The sequence below is a fragment of the Homo sapiens genome, chromosome 16 (genome assembly GCF_000001405.40).
Source record: "Homo sapiens chromosome 16, GRCh38.p14 Primary Assembly".
In the NCBI taxonomy this organism is placed as follows: domain Eukaryota; kingdom Metazoa; phylum Chordata; class Mammalia; order Primates; family Hominidae; genus Homo; species Homo sapiens.
The window spans coordinates 71596622-71619062 of NC_000016.10; the positions used below are offsets into that span (position 1 = coordinate 71596622).

The window sequence follows — 22441 nt, forward strand, 5'->3', positions numbered from 1 at the left end:
AATGAAATAAAAAGCTGGTTCTTTGAAGGTAAATAAAATTGATAGACCATTAGCAAGATTAACCAAGAAAAGAAGAGAGAAAATCCAAATAACCTTACTAAGAAACAAAACAGGAGATATTATAACTGACACCACTGAAATACAAAAGATCATTCACAGCTGCTATGAACACCTTTACACACATAAACTAGAAAACCTAGAAGAGATGGATAAATTCCGGGAAAAATACAACCCTCCTAGCTTAAATCAGGAAGAATTAGATACCCTGAACAGATCAATAATAATAAGTAAGATTGAAATGGTGATTTTAAAATTACAAACAAAAAAATCCAGGACCAGATGGATTCACAGCAGAATTCTACCAGATATTCAAAGAAGAATTGGTACCAATCCTTTTGACACTATTCCACAAGATAGAGAAGGAAGGAACACTCCCTAATTCATTCTATGACGCCAGCATCACCCTAATACCAAAACCAGGAAAGGAGATAACCAAAAAAGAAAACTGCAGACCAATATCCTTGATGAATATAGATGCTAAAATCCTTAACAAAATACTAGCTAACTGAATCCCAACAACATATCAAAAAGATAATCCACCATGATCAAGTGGGTTTCATACCAGGGAAGCAGGGATGGTTTAATATATGCAAGTCAATAAATGTGATACACCACATAAACAGAATTAAGAAACAAAAATCACATGATTATCTCAATAGATGCAGAAAAAGGATTCTACAAAATCCAGCATATCTTTATGATTAAAACGCTCAGCAAAATCAGCATACAAGGGACATATCTTAATATAATAAAAGCCATCTATGACAAACCCACAACCAACATAATACTGAATGGGGAAAGTTGAAAGCATTCCCTCTGAGAACTGGAACAAGACAAGGATGCCCACTCTCACCACTCCTCTTCAACAAAGTACTGGAAGTCCTAGCCACAGCAATCAGATAAGAGGAAGAAATAAAGGGCATCCAAACTGGTAAAGAGGAAGTCAAACTGTCACTGTTTGCTGATAATATGATTGTTTACCTTGAAAACCCTAAGGACTCCTCCAGAAAGCTCCTAGAACTGATAAAAGAATTCGGCAAAGTTTCAGGATACAAGATTAATGTACACAAATCAGTAACTCTTCTATATATCAACAGCGACCAAACAGAGAATCAAATCAAGAACTCAACCCCTTTTACAATAGCTGCAAAAAAAAAAAAAAAAAAAAAAAAAAAGCTTAGGAATATACTTAACAAAGGAGTCGAAAGGCCTCTACAAGGAAAACTACAAAACACTGCTGAAAGAAATCATAGACAACACAAACAAATGGAAACATCCCATGCTCATGGATGTCTATCAATATTGTGAAAATGACCATACTGCCAAAAGCAATCTACAGATTCAACACAATCCCCATCAGAATACCACCATCATTCTTCACAGAATTAGAAAAAAAAAATTCTGAAATTCATATGGAACCAAAAAAGAGCCCGCATAGCCAAAGCAAGACTCAGCAAAAAGAACAAATCTGGAGGCATCACACTACCCGATTTCAAACTATACTATAAGGCCATAGTCACCAAAACAGCATGCTACTGGTATAAAAACAGGCACATAGACCAATGGAATAGAATAGAGAACCCAGAAATAAACCCAAATACTTATGGCCAAGTGATCTTTGCAAAACAAACAAAAACGTAAAGTGAGGAAAGGGCACCCTTTTCAACAAATGGTGCTGGGATAATTGGCTAGCCACATGTAGGAGAATAAAACTGGATCCTCATCTCTCACCTTATACAAAAATCAACTCGAGATGGATTAAGGACTTAAACCTAAGACCTGAAACTATAAAAATTCTACAAGGTAACACTGGAAAACTCCTTCTATGCATTGGCTTAGGCAAGGATTTCATGACCAAAAACCCAAAAGCAAATGCAATACAAACAAAGATAATAGCTAGGACCTAACTGAACTAAAGAGCTTGTGCATAGCAAAAGGAACAGTCAGCAAAGTAAACAGACAACCCACAGAGTGAGAGAAAATCTTCACAATCTGTACATCTGACAAAGGACTAATATCCAGAATCTACGACCAACTCAAACAAATCAGTAAGAAAAAAATCAAACAATCCTATCAAAAAGTGGGCTAAGGACAAGAATAGGCAATTCTCAAAAGAAGATATACACATGGCCAACAAACATATGAAAAAATGCTTAACGTCACTAATAATCGGGGAAATGCAAATCAAAACCACAATGCGATACCACCTTATTCCCGCAAGAATGGCCATAATCAAAAAATCATAAAACAGTAGGTGTTGGTGTGGATGTGGTGAACAGGGAACACTTCTACACTGCTGGTGGGAATGTAAACCAATACAGCCACTATGGAAAACAGTGTGGAGACGCCTTAAAAAGCTAAAAGTAGAACTACCATTTGATCCAGCAATCCCACTATCGGGTATCTACCCAGAGGAAAAGAAGTCATTATTCAAAAAAGATACTTGCACACGCATGTTTATAGCAGCACAATTCACAATTGCAAAATCATGGAACCAACCCAAATGCCCGTCAATGAGTGGATAAAGAAACTGTGGTATATATATAGAGATGGAATAGTACATAGCCATAAAAAGGAATTAATTAATAGCATTTGCCTGTGACCTGGATGAGATTGGAGACTATTATTCTAAGTGATGTAACTCAGTAATGGAAAACCAAATATCGTATGTTCTCACTGATATGTGGGAGCCAAGCTATGAGGACACAAAGGCATAAGAATGATACAATGGACTTTGGGGACTCGGGGGGAAGAGTGGAAGGGGGACGAGGAATAAAAAACTTCAAATATGGTACAGTGTGCACATGGGTGATAGGTGCAACGAAATCTCACTAATCACCACTAAAGAACTTACTCATGTAACCAAATACCACCTTAACCCCAATAACTTATGGAAAATTAAAAAATAAACAAAATAAACAAAAAAATTTACTTCCTAAATATCTCCGGAATCCATTTCCTTCTCCTTATTTCATCATCTCCTCCTAGCCCTAGCTACATCACCATCACCTCTTGGCAGAACTATGTGTAATCGCCTCCTTGGTAATCTTCCCTCATCCTAACCTGTTCTCCGTATTGCAGTCAGAGTAATATCATCCCAAAGTATTTTCTGATCATGTCACATTTCTCTCCTTCATCCTTGCTTAAAACTTTTTACTCCAGGCTGGGTGCAGTAACTCACGCCTGTAATCCCAGCACTTCGGGAGGCCGAGGCGGGTGGATCACGAGGCCACGAGATCGAGACCATCCTGGCTAACACGGTGAAACCCCGTCTCTACTAAAAATACAAAAAAATTAGCCGGGTGTGGTGGCGGGTGCCTGGAGTCCCAGCTACTCGGGAGGCTGAGGCAAGAGGAATGGCGTGAACCTGGGAGGCGGAGCTTGCAGCGAGCCGAGATCGCGCCACTGCACTCCAGCCTGGGCGACAGAGCAAGATTCCATCTCAAAAAAATAAAAAACAAAAAACTTTTTGCTCCAGCCTGGCCAACATGGTGAAACCTCGTCTCTACAAAAAAAATACAAAAATAAGTTGGATATGGTGGCATGTGCCTATAATCCCAGCTACTCCAGAGGCTGAGGCAGGAGAATCACTTGAACCCGGGAGGCAGAGGTTGCAGTGAGCTGAGATCACGCCACTGCACTCCAGCCTGAGTGAGGCTGACTCAAAAAAATAAATAAATAAATAAAAATTTTTAAAAAAACATAAATAAACAAAAAAAATTAAAAATTAGCACCTGCAGATTGTCCTGGCTGCTTGGGAGGCCAAGGTGGGAGGATGGCTTGAGCCCGAGAGTTTGAGGCTGCAGTGAGCTATGATCATACCGCTGCACTCCAGCCTCGGCCACGGAGCAAGACCCTGTCTCTAAATTAAAAAAAAAAATTAAGAAACAGAAAAAAAGAAATAGATCATTTGTTCCTCTGTGTGAAAGTTAACTTGGAGCAAATTCTGGGGGATAGGGGATGTGGAGGTAAAGACTGCAGCCTGCTGGGGGTGACATGCATTCCCAGAGAAGGAAAAGATGCTGAATGGAGAAGTCTCAACGTGGTGAACAGCACTCTTTGTTTGTGTCCAGACTGTACTGGAAACTGGCTCTTAGAGTCAGAGTTCCAGAGTTCCACCCTCCTTGGTCCTAGCCTGCTTCTTGCTTTCATCCACCTTCCTTGGGAGATTGTGAAACCCACGTTGGGAATCACCAACACCAAGGTACGATTGGGAGAGGCGGGGCATGAGAGCAGGATAGGGCACACAGCGAACATCAGTGTGCAGAAGGTCGCCCAGGCCCACAGATGGGCTGATGCAGGTGCCGTTCCTTGGCAAGGACTGTCCATGTGTCATCACTGACCTCTTCAGGTCTAGAGAACTGCAGTTTTCTCCAGCACCTCCTGGACTTCATCCATGGGTGCTATGACAGAAAACAGAACGATGTTCAGAGGGCACTGTGCAGTCCTCAAACCGTGGAGAGGCCCAGAAGAGAGACAAATAACTACACAGGACTCCAATCTGCTATGGCTATGTTTCAGATGTAGGCCACAACAGTTCTCTTTGTTTGGAAAAACAAAGTGGCAAAACACATTGTGACACAAAAAGATCTCAGCCGGGCGCAGTGGCTCATGCCTGTAATCCCAGCACTTTGGGAAGCCGAAGCAGGCAGATCAAGAGATCAGGAGATCAAGACCATCCTGGCTAACACGGTGAAACTCCATCTCTACTAAAAATCCAAAAAATTAGCCGGGCATGGTGGCGGGCGCCTGAAGTCCCAGCTACTCAGGAGGCTGAGGCAGGAGAACGGCGTGAACGCAGGAGGTGGAGCTTGCAGTGAGCCGAGATGGTACCACTGCACTCCAGCCTGGGTGACAGAGCAAGACTCCGTCTCAAAAAAAAAAAAAGATCTCTATTCTTCGGTCCAGGAATTTTACTCTTGAGAATGTATCCTAAAAAATAAATGGCGTGGAAATAAATCTTTGGTCTATAGTGTTTAAAATCCTGGACTTCAGTATTAGAGAAACCCAGATTTTGAATCCAGTATCTACCACTTAAGTCAACTGTGACCTTGGATGAGTTACTTAACTTCCACTTCCTCACCCGCAAAACGAAGATAATAATTTTCCTACTTTGAGCTGGGCATGGTGGCGTGTGCCTGCAATCCTAGCTACTCGGGAAGCTGAGGCAGGAAGACTGCTTGAGCCCAGGAGTTCAAGATAAGCTTTGGCAAAATAGCGAGATCCCTCTTGCTCTCAAAATAATAATAATCATCATCATCATCATCTTCCTATTTCACAGAGTTTTTGAGAAATATGTAAGATAATGCAGTAAAGATCAGTGCATAGAAGGCCAGGCGCGGTGGCTCATGCCTGTAATCCCAGCACTTTGGGAGGCCGAGGCGGGAGGATCACCTGAGGTTGGGAGTTCGAGACCAGCCCCACCAACATGGAGAAACCCCGTCTCTACTGAAAATACAAGAAAGTATCCAGGCGTGGTGGCGGGCACCTGTAGTCCCAGCTACTTGGAGAGGGTGAGGCAGGAGAATGGCATGAACCCGGGAGGCAGAGCTTGCAGTGAGCCAAAATTGCGCCACTGCACTCCAGCCTGGGTGGCAGAGCGAGACTCTGTCTCAAAATAATAATAATAATAATAATAAATAAAATGTAAATAATATTTTTGCAGACAAAGCCTTTATAGGATATGCAAAAATGAAAATAGTACATAGTTAGAGGAGGGGTTATTTTTTACATTATTACATTACTTTTAAAATTAATAAGGCTAGGAGTACTGGCTCACTCCTGTAATCCCAGCTGTTTGGGAAGCCAAGATGGGTGTATTGCTTGAGGACAGGAGTTTGAGACCAGCCTGACCAACATGGCAAAATTCTGTCTCTACTAAAAATACAAAAATTAGCTGTACGTGGTGGTGTGCACCTGTAATCCCAGCTACTCAGGAGGCTGAGACAGGAGAATAACTTGAACCCAGGAGGCGGAGGTTGCAGTGAGCCAAGATTCTACCATTGCACTCCAGCCTGGGTGACAGACTGAGACTCTGTCTAAAAAAATAAATAAATAAAATTAATATATATACATGATTTTATAGACCTTTTCTGAAAACAAGGGATGCTTTGAAAAAGGCGTCACAATCTGGGAAAATTCTTTTTTTTTTTTTTATTATACTTTAAGTTTTAGGGTACATGTGCACATTGTGCAGGTTAGTTACATATGTATACATGTGCCATGCTGGTGCGCTGCACCCACTAACTCGTCATCTAGCATTATGTATATCTCCCAATGCTATCCCTCCCCCCTCCCCCCACCCCACCACAGTCCCCAGAGTGTGATATTCCCCTTCCTGTGTCCATGTGATCTCATTGTTCAATTCCCACCTATGAGTGAGAATATGTGGTGTTTGGTTTTTTGTTCTTGCGATAGTTTACTGAGAATGATGATTTCCAATTTCATCCATGTCCCTACAAAGGACATGAACTCATCATTTTTATGGCTGCATAGTATTCCATGGTGTATATGTGCCACATTTTCTTAATCCAGTCTATCATTGTTGGACATTTGGGTTGGTTCCAAGTCTTTGCTATTGTGAATAATGCCGCAATAAACATACGTGTGCATGTGTCTTTATAGCAGCATGATTTATAGTCCTTTGGGTATATACCCAGTAATGGGATGGCTGGGTCAAATGGTATTTCTAGTTCTAGATCCCTGAGGAATCGCCACACTGACTTCCACAATGGTTGAACTAGTTTACAGTCCCACCAACAGTGTAAAAGTGTTCCTATTTCTCCACATCCTCTCCAGCACCTGTTGTTTCCTGACTTTTTAATGATTGCCATTCTAACTGGTGTGAGATGGTATCTCATTGTGGTTTTGATTTGCATTTCTCTGATGGCCAGTGATGATGAGCATTTTTTCATGTGTTTTTTGGCTGCATAAATGTCTTCTTTTGAGAAGTGTCTGTTCATGTCCTTCGCCCACTTTTTGATGGGGTTGTTTGTTTTTTTCTTGTAAATTTGTTTGAGTTCATTGTAGATTCTGGATATTAGCCCTTTGTCAGATGAGTAGGTTGTGAAAATTTTCTCCCATTTTGTAGGTTGCCTGTTCACTCTGATGGTAGTTTCTTTTGCTGTGCAGAAGCTCTTTAGTTTAATTAGATCCCATTTGTCAATTTTGTCTTTTGTTGCCATTGCTTTTGGTGTTTTGGACATGAAGTCCTTGCCCATGCCTATGTCCTGAATGGTAATGCCTAGGTTTTCTTCTAGGGTTTTTATGGTTTTAGGTCTAACGTTTAAGTCTTTAATCCATCTTGAATTGATCTTTGTATAAGGTGTAAGGAAGGGATCCAGTTTCAGCTTTCTACATATGGCTAGCCAGTTTTCCCAGCACCATTTATTAAATAGGGAATCCTTTCCCCATTGCTTGTTTTTCTCAGGTTTGTCAAAGATCAGATAGTTGTAGATATGTGGCATTATTTCTGAGGGCTCTGTTCTGTTCCATTGATCTATATCTCTGTTTTGGTACCAGTACCATGCTGTTTTGGTTACTGTAGCCTTGTAGTATAGTTTGAAGTCAGGTAGTGTGATGCCTCCAGCTTTGTTCTTTTGGCTTAGGGGATATCACCACCGATCCCACAGAAATACAAACTACCATCAGAGAATACTACAAACACCTCTACGCAAATAAACTAGAAAATCTAGAAGAAATGGATAAATTCCTCGACACATACACTCTCCCAAGACTAAACCAGAAAGAAGTTGAATCTCTGAATAGACCAATAACAGGAGCTGAAATTGTGGCAATAATTAATAGTTTACCAACCAAAAAGAGTCCAGGACCAGATGGATTCACAGCCGAATTCTACCAGAGGTACAAGGAGGAACTGGTACCATTCCTTCTGAAACTATTCCAATCAATAGAAAAAGAGGGAATCCTCCCTAACTCATTTTATGAGGCCAGCATCATTCTGATACCAAAGCCTGACAGAGACACAACCAAAAAAGAGAATTTTAGACCAATATCCTTGATGAACATTGATGCAAAAATCCTCAGTAAAATACTGGCAAAACGAATCCAGCAGCACATCAAAAAGCTTATCCACCATGATCAAGTGGGCTTCATCCATGGGGTGCAAGGCTGGTTCAATATACGCAAATCAATAAATGTAATCCAGCATATAAACAGAGCCAAAGACAAAAACCACATGATTATCTCAATAGATGCAGAAAAAGCCTTTGACAAAATTCAACAATGCTTCATGCTAAAAACTCTCAATAAATTAGGTATTGATGGGACGTATTTCAAAATAATAAGAGCTGTCTATGACAAACCCACAGCCAATATCATACTGAATGGGCAAAAACTGGAAGCGTTCCCTTTGAAAACTGGCACAAGACCGGGATGCCCTCTCTCACCACTCCTATTCAACATAGTGTTGGAAGTTCTGGCCAGGGCAATTAGGCAGGAGAAGGAAATAAAGGGTATTCAATTAGGAAAAGAGGAAGTCAAATTGTCCCTGTTTGCAGATGACATGATTGTATATCTAGAAAACCCCATTGTCTCAGCCCAAAATCTCCTTAAGCTGATAAGCAACTTCAGCAAAGTCTCAGGATACAAAATCAATGTACAAAAATCACAGGCATTCTTATACACCAACAACAGACAAACAGAGAGCCAAATCATGGGTGAACTCCCATTCACAATTGCTTCAAAGAGAATAAAATACCTAGGAATCCAACTTACAAGGGATGTGAAGGACCTCTTCAAGGAGAACTACAAACCACTGCTCAAGGAAATAAAAGAGGATACAAACAAATGGAAGAACATTCCTTGCTCATGGATAGGAAGAATCAATATCGTGAAAATGGCCATAGTGCCCAAGGTAATTTACAGATTCAATGCCATCCCCATAAAGCCACCAATGACTTTCTTCACAGAATTGGAAAAAACTACTTGAAAGTTCATATGGAACCAAAAAAGAGCCCGCATCGCCAAGGCAATCCTAAGCCAAAGGGAAAATTCTTAAGGATATTATATATCAGAAGAAGAGTGATAAAGCTGGGTGCCATGGCATGTGCCTGTAATCCCAGCTACTCGGGAGGCTGAGGCGGGAGAACTGCTTGAGACCAACCTGGGCAACATAGTGCAACATCAACTTCATCTCAAAAAAAAAAAAAAAAAAAGGGCCGGGTGCAGTGGCTCACGCCTGTAATCCCAGCACTTTGGGAGGCCAAGGTGGGTGGATCACCTGAGGTCAGGAGTTCAAGACCAGCCTGGCCAACATGGCGAAAACCCATCTCTATTAAAAATACAAAAATTAGCTGGGCATGGTGGCAGGCGCCTGTAATCCCAGCTACCGGGTAGGCTAAGGCAGGAGAATCGCTTGAACCTGGGAGGCAGAGGTTGCAGTGAGCCAAGATCGTGCCATTGCACTCCAGCCTGGGCGACAAAAGCAAAACTCTGTCTCAAAAAAAAAAAAAAGCTATAATTCCCATTTGGGATACCAGTCTCCAAGACAGTCCCAATGACCCTTGCCTTCTGTAATTTAGACCTTGCTGTGTTCCTCCCACATTCCAGGGCTGGCTTGTGTGACCAATAGAATACTGTGGAACTAATAGCATGTGGCTTCCAAGGTAAAACTCAAAAAAGGCATTGCAGGCTGGACACGGTGGCTCACACCCATAATCCCAGAACTTGGGGAGGCCGAGGCGGGTGGATCACTTGAGGCCAGGAGTTCGAGACCAGCCTGGCCAATATGGCAAAAGCCTGTCTCTACTAATTATACAAAAATTAGCCAGACATGGTGGTGCACACCTGTAATCCCAAGTACTCGGGAGGCTAAGGCAGGAGAATCACTTGAACCTGGGAGGCAGAGGTTGCAATGAGCCAAGATTGCGCCACTGCACTCCAGCCTGGGAGACAGAGCAAAAACTCCATCTCAAAAAAAATATCGTTTTTTTTTTAAAGGCATTAAGTTTCCATCTTGGTCTCTTGGCTCTCTTGCTCTGGGAAAAGGCAGCTGCCATATTATGCTGACACCACAGCAGCCCTGTGGAGAGGCTCACCTTGGGCAAGCCAGCTTTGGAGGAGATCCTCAAGCCCTGTGAAGACTCAGGTGTCTCCATCTTGGATGCTAATCCACCATGCTGACTTCTGATTAACCCCAGTCCCCAGGAGTGCCTCCTGATTCCAACGTTGTTTACTGCCCTTTATGTAAGAATATGTACTCACTATAAATCCTCCCTTTAAGCCAAAGCAACCTTGAAGTTATCGTGCAAATTATAGGCTGTGACACACATAGCATTCTTGCCTGTTCTGGAGGGCTGCCTTTAATTCCTTTAATTGCGTCTATACGGCAGGCATGTACACCCCTTCCCTCTGGCGTATAAACCCTCTGGGAAGTAACGGTACAGTGATCTACCTATGTTGCTGCCGTCCAAGACCACACTTCCACCTGTAAATTCCCCAATAATTCATCCTCTACTGACAAACTGGATTCACCTGCCTTGTTCTTTAGTTTCTCCGCTCCTTCTGTGTTTGGGGGTTACTTTGCATACACAGCCCTTCCACAGAATAAGCCCCATTAAAGCCTAAATGACTGCAGTCCCTGACAACCTCTTGGCTGTAATGTCGAGGGAGACTCACAAACCCACAGTCAAGCCGCTCTTGAATTTCTGATCCGCAGTGTGGTAGAGAATATTTTCAGCATTTGTAGTTCATTATTGAATCATCAGTAACTCACTGTTCTCATTTAATGCTATTGATCACCTGCTCCTTCTTGCTAAGGTAATCACCCTTAATATCTTTCACGTTCACTTTTTCTCCCTCCCTAGGCCTCAGCTGGGACCTGCTCTCCCTCCAGAATATTTTGGAATGTTATTTATTTTTTATTTTTCTTTTTTGAGATAGAGTCTCACTCTGTCGCCCAGACTGGAGTGCAGTGGTGCAATCATGACTCACTGCAGCCTCGACATCCTGGGCTCAAATGATCATCCCACCTCAGCCTCCCAAGTAGCTGAGACTACAGACACACACCACCACACCCGGCTAAAAAATTTTTTTTAACAGATAGGGGTCTGCCTATGTAGCCCAGACTGGTCTCCAGCAATCATTCTGCTCTGTCCTCCCGAAGTGTTGCGGTTACAGGCATGAGCCGCCACGCTTAGCCTGAAATGCTTTTTGGTTTTTTTGTTTTGAGACGGAGTCTTGCTGTGTCGCCCAGGCTGGAGTGCAATGGCGCCATCTAGGCTCACTGCAACCTCTGCCTCCCAGATTCAAGCGATTCTCCTGCCTCAGCCTCCTGAGTAGCTGGGACTACAGGTGCGTGCCAACACGCCCGGCTAATTTTCATATTTTTAGTAGAGACGGGGTTTCACCATGTTGGCCAGGCTGGTCTCAAACCCCTGACCTTGTGGTCCGCCCGCGTTGGCCTCCCAAAGTGCTGGAATTATAGGCATGAGCCACCGTGCCTGGCCTGGAATGTTATTTTTATAACAAATTTGACTGAGGTACTTCTCTGATTAAAAGCCATCTCTGGTGGCTCCATACAGCCTGTACTCTCAAACCTAACCCCAACATGAACACATGTATTTATAAATTATATCTATGAACTGCTGTATTAACATACCATTTACATTATAAATCAGATACAGAAAAAGAGATTCCCAAAAAGACAATATTTCCAGATTAAATAGAGGTCTAGGATTTTTTCCCTTCACCACATTGAGAGGTTGTGTGCACCTGCTTGGAGACCACAGACCCAGAGAGAATACACGATCAGTGACTCATTGCCTGAGAACAATGAGTCACTGATGGTCAAATAAATATTCAATGAACTACAGATGCTCAAAATACTCGGTGAATGTCAGGTTCTCAATGAATGTCAGCTGCTACTGGTAGCTGTAAAATTTTTATTACAGAGAAGCTGAGTAAGTTCAAGATTGAAACGTGTCATTTGTGTTTGGAAGATGTCAATGATCTTAGACAGATCATTTTCAGGTTGCCAGGAAGGAGTCAGACTGTGTCTTGGGTGAGAAGAGTAGGAGAAATGACTAACTGCATATGCCTGGCTTTGCAGGCTTCTTATAATCTGACCCCTGCCTCCCTCTTCTGCCTTTTTTCCCTTTACTTCTTCCCTTGTGGTTCAAACGTAAGGATTACAGGGCCGGGAGTGGTGGCTCATGCCTGTAATCCCAGTTCTTTGGGAGGCTGAGGCAGGTGGATCACTTGAGGTCAGGAGTTCGAGACCAGCCTGGCCAACATGGTGAAACCCCATCTCTACTAAAAATACAAAAATTAGCTGGGTGTGGTGACACATGCCTGTAATCTCAGCTACTCAGGGGGCTGAGGCAGGAGAATTGCTTGAACCCGGGAGGCAGAGGTTGCAGTGAGCTGAGATCCTGCCACTGCACTCCAGCCTGGACCATGGAGCAAGACTCCATCTCAAAAAAAAAAAAAAAAAAAGGAAGGATTACAGTCCTACTCATTCCTAAAAACTCTCCTTAAGCACTCTCTCTCCTGGAAGTCACTAAAGGAAACGAAAAACTTTTGCCCCAAAATATACTTCTTTGACACATTTCAAGCTGGCTATTCAGAAGAACTGGAAATACAAGAATAGCTGAAAAGCCGTCTTTTGTGGGAGAGATTTTTATCTATAGAGAAAATCTGCCTTGATGCAGCCAGGCTTTCTCTGAAGCCCTCCTTTGTCCAAATCTAGGGAAGGTTAAGTAAGTGTCTAATACCTTTAAAGGTTTGAAAGGGGTTAGCTGTGTGGGAGGCCAAGGCTGGCAGATCACTTGAGCCCATGAGTTCGAGACCACCCTGGGCAACATAGTGAGACCCCCCCCCCGCCATCTCTACAAAAAATAAAAATAAAAAATAAAGGTTTGAAAGAAACATTCATATCTATTCTCTCTGAGAGTGGTTACCTGTGAAACTTTAGCTACATAACAAGACTACCTTCGCTAGCCAGGCCTGCTCCTTTCCCTCTCCCATAGTCTGTTGTGCCAGAGTCCAACCCCTATTCTTCCTGTAACCTCAAGATGGTATAAAAGCATCCAACCCAGCCTGGGCGCGCCAACCCAGCCCGGGCGCAGTGGCTCACGCCTGTAATCCCAGCACTTTGGGAGGCCAAGGCGAGTGGATCATTTGAGGTCAGGAGTTTGAGATCAGCCTGGCCAACATCGTGAAACCTCTTCTCTACTAAAAATACAAAAATTAGTCAGGTTTGGTGGCACACACCTGTAATCCCAGCTACTTGGAGGCTGAGGCAGGAGAATTGCTTGAACCTGGGAGGCGAAGGTTGCAGTGAGCCAAGATCACACTATTGTACTCCAGGCTGGGCGGCAGCGAGACTCTGTCTCCAAAAAAAAAAAAAAAAAGGCATACAACCCTCTTCCCTTTCTTTGAGATCTTATATTTTGTAAGACTCTCCGACACATTAATAAATTTCTATTTCTCCTATTAATCTGCCTTTTGTCAGTTAATTTTCAGCAACCCTTCAGAGGGCGAAGGGAATGCTCTCCCTTCACTCCTTCGTTGCTTTTGGTTCCTTTTTTTTTTTTTTTTTGAGAGTCTTGCTCTGTTGCCCAGGCTGGAGTGCAGTGGGGTGATCTCTGCCCACTGCAACCTCCACCTCCTGGATTCAAGTGATTCTCCTACCTCAGCCTCCCGAGTAGCTGGGACCACAGGCGCACACCACCACACCCAGCTAATTTTTGTATTTTTAATAGAGACAAGGTTTCTCCATGTTGGCCAGGCTGGTCTCGAACTCCTGACCTCAGATGATCTGCCTGCCTCAGCCTCCCAAAGACTTTTGGTTACTTCTGCCTCCATACCCTGCCCACATCTCATGCTCATCTTTTTCTTCCCAGTGTCACAAAGAATTTACTTAGCTGCCTCTCTCATGAGGCTGTGAGCTCTCAGCCAGCACGGCTATCTTATTTCTCTTCCTTGCATCACAGTGGCATCCACAGTGCCTGATAAGCGGTAGCAATGCAATAACAATAGCTAATACAGGCCAGGCGCGGGGGCTCACACCTGTCATCCCAGGACTTTGGAGGCTGAGGCAGGAGGATGGCTTGAACCCAGGAGTTCAAGACCAGCCTGGGCAATATAGTAAGACCCCTGTCTCTAAAAAAAATTTTAAATAAAATAAAAGAATAGCTAATACATGTGTAGTTTAAATATATGTTAGGCACTGCTCCAGTGTGTTATGCATATTACTTATTTAAGCCTATGAAGTAGGTACAATTATCCCCATTTTGCAAGCGAGAGGGTTGCATTTTGGGCAGAGGGAGGGTGAGTGATTTCCCAAGCTCAGTCTCACCTGTGTATTAGGCGAAGTTCAGGAAATAGTGAACCTATTTAGTGAACCTAAATAGTGAACTCCAGGCGTTGTTTCACAGCTGGATGAGAGAACTCTGGTCACCCAGGCTGAGTCGGGGGAGGGGATTCTCGAAACTGAGGAAGACGGCATCCTATGGGCTCCCGCGCCTCCCAGCCTGAGCCTGTGCTGCCCCCTGCTGGCCAGCTCTGGGCCCCCTGCAGGCTCCCTTTCCCACCTAGAGCGCCTGCGTAGGAACTAACCCAGCCAGAAGTCCCCTCTGCCACCAGAGCTTGAGTCTAGGGTCTGACAGCAAGCACAGGATGTGCTGAGTGGGGAAGAGAATCAAAAGATCTCGCGGGGAATGTGCAAGGATTTCCCCCTTGATCCACATACCTAAGGACTGCCTCCCTCATAAGTGAAGGCTGAAAGAAACCATTCAAAGAAACCAAATGGGAAAAGTCAGCTCTGTCCCCAAATGCCATTGCCTGTACCCAAAATCAATAGAAATGTTTATTTGTTTAAAGAAAAACTTAGGTAAATATTTGGATTATTCTTACATTAGATTCTCCTTTAGGATGGAATATTGAGTGCTAAATTAACACACCGGTTCTTAATTAGGGTGCCTGATGGAGCTATTCGAAAACACAGATGCCCGGGCTCTGTTCCCAGCCTGCTGAATCAGAATCACCGGGAGGCGCTACTTCTTCTCCGGACTAGCCTCAAACCCAGATTTTCCCAAACCCCAAAGCTCCCAGACCGTTTAATATCTCACCTTTCCAGCTGGAGGAAAACCAATGCCTTTCCACTTGAACTTCAGTGAAAAACTTCATTGTCTAGAGAATACTCCTCCAGGGTATCTGACTCTAGTCTTTCATTGACTTTGAGCTATTTTACAAAATAGCTAATTGCTGGCAATGCAAAAAAAAAATTATTGTTTATAAACATGCAAATTATGTTCTGTCTAGTAGAAAGTCAATTGATTTTGCTTACCCTCTGTAAAAAAAAAAATCCGTTTGCCTCCATTTGCACATTTATTTCATTATTCCTGGTCTACAAATGGGTCTATTTTTTGAACCTATTGTAATATCTGCTTGATTTCTTCAATGATCATTGAGTTAAAGAAAATCTTGAACATGTTCATTTTATATCTATGTGAGAGTTTCTTTCTTTTTTTCTTTTTTTTTTTTTTTTTTGAGATGGGAGTCTCGCTCTCTCTCCCAGGCTGCGGTGCAGTGGCCCGATCTCGGCTCACTGCAACCTCCGCCTCCCGGGTTCAAGTGATTCTCCTACCTCAGCCTCCTGAGTAGCTGGGATTACAGGCGCACGCCACCAAACCCGGCTAATTTTTGTATTTTTAGTAGAGACAGGGTTTCACAACGTTGGCCAGGCTGGTCTCGAACTCCTGACCTCAAGCAATCTGCCTGTCTCGGCCTCTCAAAGTGCTGGGATTACAGGCTTGAGCCACCACATCCGGGCGAGAGTTTCTTTTTTGGAAAATTATTTTTAATATACCAGTGACAAGTACTTTCCTATTCTCTACTCTTTGGTCATCTGCCACTTACACTCTTTGCTTTGGTTAAAGTTTACTCGGGGGATTTTCTCAGAAAATAACTCCCTTTTTGTAACTTTCCACTGTATGCATAATGTCTGTCCGAAGATTCCTGGAAGAACAGCAGAATAACCAAAAGGTGTTATATTTTTAATTAAGGCAAAAGAGAGGTCAGAAGATTGGTTCCTAAACTTCTCTTCCACAAATAAAATAAACTCATCAGATGTTCACTAGGCTTTAACTCTCAACTACCTTACTTACTCCGTCCTTACTTGTGTGGTTGATTAATTTATCAAAAATTACACATATTAGAGACAGAGTCTCACTCTGTTGCTCAGGCTGGAGTGCAGTGGCATGATCTCGGCTCACTGCAACCTCCACCTACCTGGTTCAAGAGATTCTCCTGCCCCAGCCTCCCAAGTAGGTGGGATTACAGGCATGCACCACCACACCCAGTGGATTGTTTTACTTTTACTGTACCTAATGATGTTATAAGTTGCAACAGAAAATAAAAGATCCCTGTCATCTCCTTGAGTACATAGAATTAATTTGTAAGAACTAATGTTTCCAAGCATGGTGGTTCACTCCTATAATCTCAGCAGTTTGGGAGGCTGAAGCAGGAGTAACGCTTGAGCCCAGGAGTTTCAGACCAGCCTGGGCAACATAGCAAGACCCTATCTCTCTCTACAAAAAAAAAAGAAAAGAAAAGAAAAGAAAAGAAAAAACTTAGCCAGACATGGTGGCATATGCCTGTAGTCCCAGCTACTCAGGAGGCTGAGGCGGGAGAATCGCTTGGGCCCAGGAGGCCAAGGCTACAGTGAGCCATGATTGTGCCACTACACACCAGCCTTGGTGACAGAGCAAGATCTTGTTATTTACCCAATGATTATTTATTGAGCATCTACCAGGTGCCAGGCATAATGGCAAAGGCATAGTCTATGGGAGCTGACAGTCCAGAGAGAGGTGCAGACACTACACAAATACAGTCATGCGTTGCTTAATGTCAGGGGTATGTTCTGAGAAATGCATCATTTGGTGATTTTGTCATCGTGTGAACATCATAGAGTGTATTTATACACAGAGTGTACCTACTTGGTATAGCCTACTAAACGCACCTAGGCTATATGGTATGGCCTATTGCTCCTAGACTGCAAATCTGTATAGCATGTTATTGTACTGAATTTTTTTTTTTTTTTTTTTTGAGGCAGAGTCTCGCTCTGTCACCCAGGCTGGAGTGCAGTGGTGCCATCTCAGCTCACTGCAACCTCTGTCTCCTGGGTTCAAGTGATTCTTCTGCCTCAGCCTTCTGAGTAGCTGGGGACTAAAGTCGTGGGCCACCATACCCGGCTAATTTTTGCATTTTTTTTTCTTTTTTTTTTTTTAGTAGAGATGGGGTTTCACTATGTTGGCCAGGCTGGTCTTAAACTCCTGACTTCAAATGATCCACCCACCTCAGTCTCCCAAAGTGCTGGGATTACAGGCTTGAGCCACCACACCCGGCCAATTAAATGTATACTTTCAAATTTTGAGAACAGCAGATGAAATGCATGTTTTGAGCCAAAATTGCAACAATTCAAAAAAGGACAGGCCAGTATGAGCTGAAGTCGTGGGAAATATTCTGGTTATCTTTTGCTGAGTATCAAATCACTCCCAAACTTAGAGGTATAAGACAACCATTTATTATGCTCATGGATTCTGTGGGTCGGGAATTTGGAAAGGGCACAGTAGGAAGGGCTTGTCTCTGTGCCACAATGTCTAGGGTCTGAGCAGAGAGACCCAAAGGCTGGGGGTCACCTGATGGCTGGGGCTGGAAGCTTCGAGAGCTCATTCACTAATGTCTCGAGACTGATGCTGGCTGTAGACTAAGATCTTAGCTAGAGACAACGAAACACCTATACATGGCCTTTTTATGTCACCTGGGATTCCTTACATTATTGTGACTGGGTTCCAAGGTAGAGCAGCCTCAGAGAGAGCCAGGTAGAAGCTGTATCACCTTTGTTGATGAGCCCAAAAAATCACTCAGCATCACTTCCACTGCATTCTATTCAGGACCAGCTTAATGGGCGTGTGACCTGTGTGGTCACACAGAGCCCCATGCTTGGTTTAATGCTCTGCTCTCACCCCCTGGAAATTCGTAATAATATTTGATGGCCAGGCACAGTGACTCACACCTGTAATCCCAGCACTTTGGGAGGCTGAGGCAGGAGGATCGCTTGAGGCCAGGAGTTCAAGATCAGTCTGGGAAACATGGCAAGATCTCATCTCCACAAAAGAAACTGAAAAAAAAATTAGCCAGCTATGATGATTATGCACACCTGTAATCGCAGCTACTCAGAAGGCTGAAGTGGGAGGATCACTTGAGCCCAGGAGTTTGAGGCTACAGTGAGCTGTGATCACACCACTGCACTCCAGCCTGAGCAACATAGCAAGACCCTGTCTCAAAACAAATAACTAAATAAATGTTTGTACAAGGGCCCCGTATTTTCATTTGACTGGGACCCACAAATGATGTAGCCGGTTTTGATTCTATTTGTCCAGGCAGTCACAAGGGCCTGCGCAGGCTCACAGGGTGGGGACACTGACTTCCCCTCTAGATGGGGCAGTAGCAAGGTTCTGGAAAAGCATGTGAAACTGGAAATATTGGTGTGGCCTTTTTTTTTTTTTTTTTGAGATGGAGTTTCGCTCTTGTTGCCCAGGCTGGAGTGCAATGGCACGATCTCGGCTCACTGCAACCTCCGCCTCCCGGGTTCAAGCAGATTCTCCTGCCTCAGCCTCCCAGGTAGCTGGGATTACAGGCATGTGTCACCATGCCCAGCTAATTTTGCATTTTTAGTAGAGACGGGATTTCTCCATGTTGGTCAGCCTGGTCTCCAACTCCTGACCTCAGGTGATCTGCCCGCCTCGGCCTGCCAAAGTGCTGGGATTACAGGAGTGAGCCACCGCGCCCAGCTGGCGTGGCCTTTCTCAGAAAGTACAATCTGCCACAGAGGGTTTGTAGAGAATTTAAGATGTAGCCTGGACCTGTAAAAGACTTTTAAGTGTGTAAATTTCTCAGGCTCCCAGGAAGATATCCTCAGGTCCCACCTGTTTCAACAAACCCTCTTAAAGAGCCCACAGCTGATATTTATCTATCCCCATATCTATTCAGCAAATCCTGGTTGAGTGCATTTGGGGACAGGGGAGCATTTACAGGTGATTTGGAGATGTTGGCTTGGGGTTCACAGTGCTGGTGTCAGTAAAAGGAGAAAAAAAGCCTGGGCATGGTGGCTCATGCCTGTAATCCCAGCACTTTTTGGGAGGCTGAGGCAGGCAGACCACGAGGTCAAGAGATCGAGACCATGCTGGCCAACATGGTAAAACCCTGTCTCTACTAAAAATACAAAAATTAGCTGGGCGTAGTGGCGTGCGCCTGTAGTCCCAGCTACTCAGGAAGCTGAGGCAGGAGAATCACTTGAACCAGGGAGAAGGAGGTTGCAGTGAGCCAAGATCGTGCCACTGCACTCCAGCCTGGCAACAGAGCAAGACTTCATCTCAAAGAAAAAAAAAAGAGAGAAAAAAAGCTACAGGGCAAAGCACAAAAACCCTATAAACAAAGTGTCAGGATGTTAAAGAGAGCCAAAGACCACTTTTAGCTGGAGGAATTTGAGCCGGCTTCCTGGAGACATGGCCCCGGGTGGCTCCCCTCCATTCATTCAAGAGTCACTTATTCATTGAACAAGTGTCTTCCGTGCCATTGGAGTTCGAGGCCCTGGGGATTTATCAGGGAGCAGGATATGTCCCCGCTTTCATGCAGCCTACTCTACAAGGTACAGTCAAATAACAGACACATTAAAAAATAAACATAGAGGCCCAGTATAGTGGCTCACGCCTGTAATCCCAACGCTTTGAGAGGCCAAGGCAGGCAGGTCACCTGAGGTCAGGAGTTCGAAACCAGCCTGGCCAACATAGTGAAACCCCGCCTCTACTAAAAATACAAAAATTAGCCAGGCGTGGTGGCACATGCCTGTAGTCCCAGCTACTCGGGAGGCTGAGGCAGGAGAATCACTTGAATCCAGGAGGTGGAGGTTGCAATGAGCCGAGATCGCACCACTGCACTCCAGCCTGGGCAACAAGAGCGAAGACTCCCTCTCAAAAAATAATAATAATAAAGTTGTGATTTCTTTAAAGTATTTTGACTGCTTGTGAGCAGACTTTTAGGCAATTAAGAGAAAAATATCCTTAGACTAAGTGGATAAAATTTTTTCTCAAATATTTAAACATAGGCAAAACATAACAAGCTTAAAGACTGTACTTTTCAAATGTTCTACAAGTGGACATGTATTATTATTGTTATTATCATTATTTTGAGACAGGGTCTCACTCCATTGCCCAGGCTGGAGTGCAGGGGTGCCATCACAGCTCACTATAGCCTTGACCTCCTGGGCCCAAGCGATCCTCTCACCTCAACCTCCCAAGTATCTGGGACTAGAGGTGTGCACCACCACACCCAGCTAATTTTTGTATTTTTTGTAGAGACAGGGGTCTCCCTATGCTGCCCAGGCTGGTTTTGAACTCCTTGGCTCAAGCAATCCTCCCGCCTCAGCCTCCCAAAGTGCTGGGATTACAAGTGTGAGCCACCATGCCTAGCCTGTGTATTATTTTTATAATCAGAAAAAAATAGTTCTTAAAATCACTGGGAAGGTGATTTTAATCACATTTCCACCGATGTACAGAGTGCAAGAGCTATGGGGACATGGCTACCTCTGCCTAGATTTTAAAGGACATTTAGTTTAGGAGAAAAACCAAAAGTTTGGTAATACATGCTGTTGATGAACTTGTGGGGAAATAAACGCTCTCATGTATAACTAATGGGAATACAAACCTATATAATTCCTATGAAGGACATTTGGCAATCTGTCAAAAGTTTAATGTCTTGGGAGGCTGAGGTGGGTGGATAACTTGAGGTCAGGAGTTCAAGACCAGCCTGGCCAACATGGCAAAACCCTGTCTCTACTAAAAATACAAAAATTAGCCAGGTATGGTGGTGGGTGCCTGTAGTCCCAGCTACTTGGGAGGCTGAGGCAGGAGAATCACTTGAACCCAGGAGGTGGAGGTTGCAGTGAGCCGAGATCATGGCACTGATCATGGCACTGCACTCCAACCTGGGCGACAGAGTGAGACTCAGTCTCAGAAAAAAAAAAAAAAAAAAAAAAAGATTAATGTCTAGGTCACTTTTTAGACTGGTTCCTTCACCACTTCATTAAAGACTCACCCCATTCCAAGCCCTGCCATGATCACCATTGAGGCTACAGATACAATATACCAGGCTCTTTTTTTTGTTTTTGAGACAGAGTTTTGCTGTGTCTCCCAGTCTGGAGGGAAATGGCGTGATCTCAGCTCACTGCAACCTCTGCCTCCCAGGTTCAAGTGATTCTCCCACCTTTGGATGGCTAGGTCACTTTTTAGACATTAAACTTTTGGAGATATACCCCACAGATGTACATGTGAGAATGCAAAATAACACACAAGGTCATTCATACAGCTTTATAGTAGCAAAAGATTAGAAATAATCATACAGCTTTATAGTAGCAAAAGATTAGAAATAATCCAAATGTCTATCAAGAGAGCACTAATTAAATCAGTTATGATACAGTCATACAGCAGGGCACTATGCAGCTTGAAAAAAAGAATGAGGACCTTTTTTATTTACCAATATGAAAAGATCTTCAAGATAATTACATGAAAAAAGCAAGTCACAGAACAGAGAACACTATGCTACCTTTCGTGTGAATCGGAAAGAAGGGTATATAGATTTGATCTGCTTATATTTATGTGAATCAAACCCTAGAACAATTCACAAGAAAATCATTGCAATGATTGTTTGTTGAGGGGGGCTCTGGATCCCCTTTTCCTGCTGATATACCCATCCCCCAGCCACGATGACACTGACTGACAGCAAGTCACAGCTGTTCCTTCTCTGGGGAATTGCCTGCCACCCAAAAGAGGGCCACCTGACTTGGAAAGGGTATGCTATGGTCTGAACATCGGTGTTCCCCAAAATTCATATGTTGGAACCCAATACCCAATGTGACAGTATCAAGAGACAGAGCCTCGGGGAAAGTGATGAGGTCATAAGGGCTCTGCCTTCATGAATGGAATTCGTGCTCTTATAAAAGAGGTTGAAGGGAGCTTCCTTGCTCCTTTTACCATGTGAGGACACTTAGAAGGCATCATCTATGAGGAACAGGCCTTCATCAGACACCAAATCTGCTAGCATCTTGATCTTGGACTTCCTGGTCTCCAGAATTAATGAGAAATAAATTTCTATCATTTACAAATTATTCAGTCTATGGTATTTTGTTATAGCAGCCCAAATGGACTGAACAGAAATTGGTAGGAGAAGTGGGGTGCTGCTGTAACAAATACCTAAAAATGTGGGAGCAGCTTTGGAACTAGGTAATGGCCAGAGGTTAGAAGAATTTGGAAGAGCACACTAGAAAAATCCTATATTGCCATAAACATACTGTAAAGGG

The 22441-nt window shown here is 43.6% G+C and overlaps 1 long non-coding RNA gene across 1 annotated transcript in view, besides 1 other annotated feature; it reads right to left on the reverse strand.

Annotated features, from left to right (window-relative positions):
• Window positions 1-22441, reverse strand: part of LOC105371334 (uncharacterized) — a 37613-nt gene that overhangs the window by 12853 nt on the left and 2319 nt on the right. The window contains exon 2 of the long non-coding RNA XR_933717.2: window positions 15153-15288. This is a non-coding gene — a long non-coding RNA (uncharacterized LOC105371334). The remainder of the gene's footprint in view (window positions 1-15152; window positions 15289-22441) is intronic.
• Window positions 11353-11402: a silencer, noted in NCBI's record as "silent region_7681". NCBI's record gives its function as "represses an Ori minimal core promoter by ATAC-STARR-seq in GM12878 lymphoblastoid cells {active_cell/tissue: GM12878}" and the evidence as "EXISTENCE:reporter gene assay evidence [ECO:0000049][PMID:35858748]".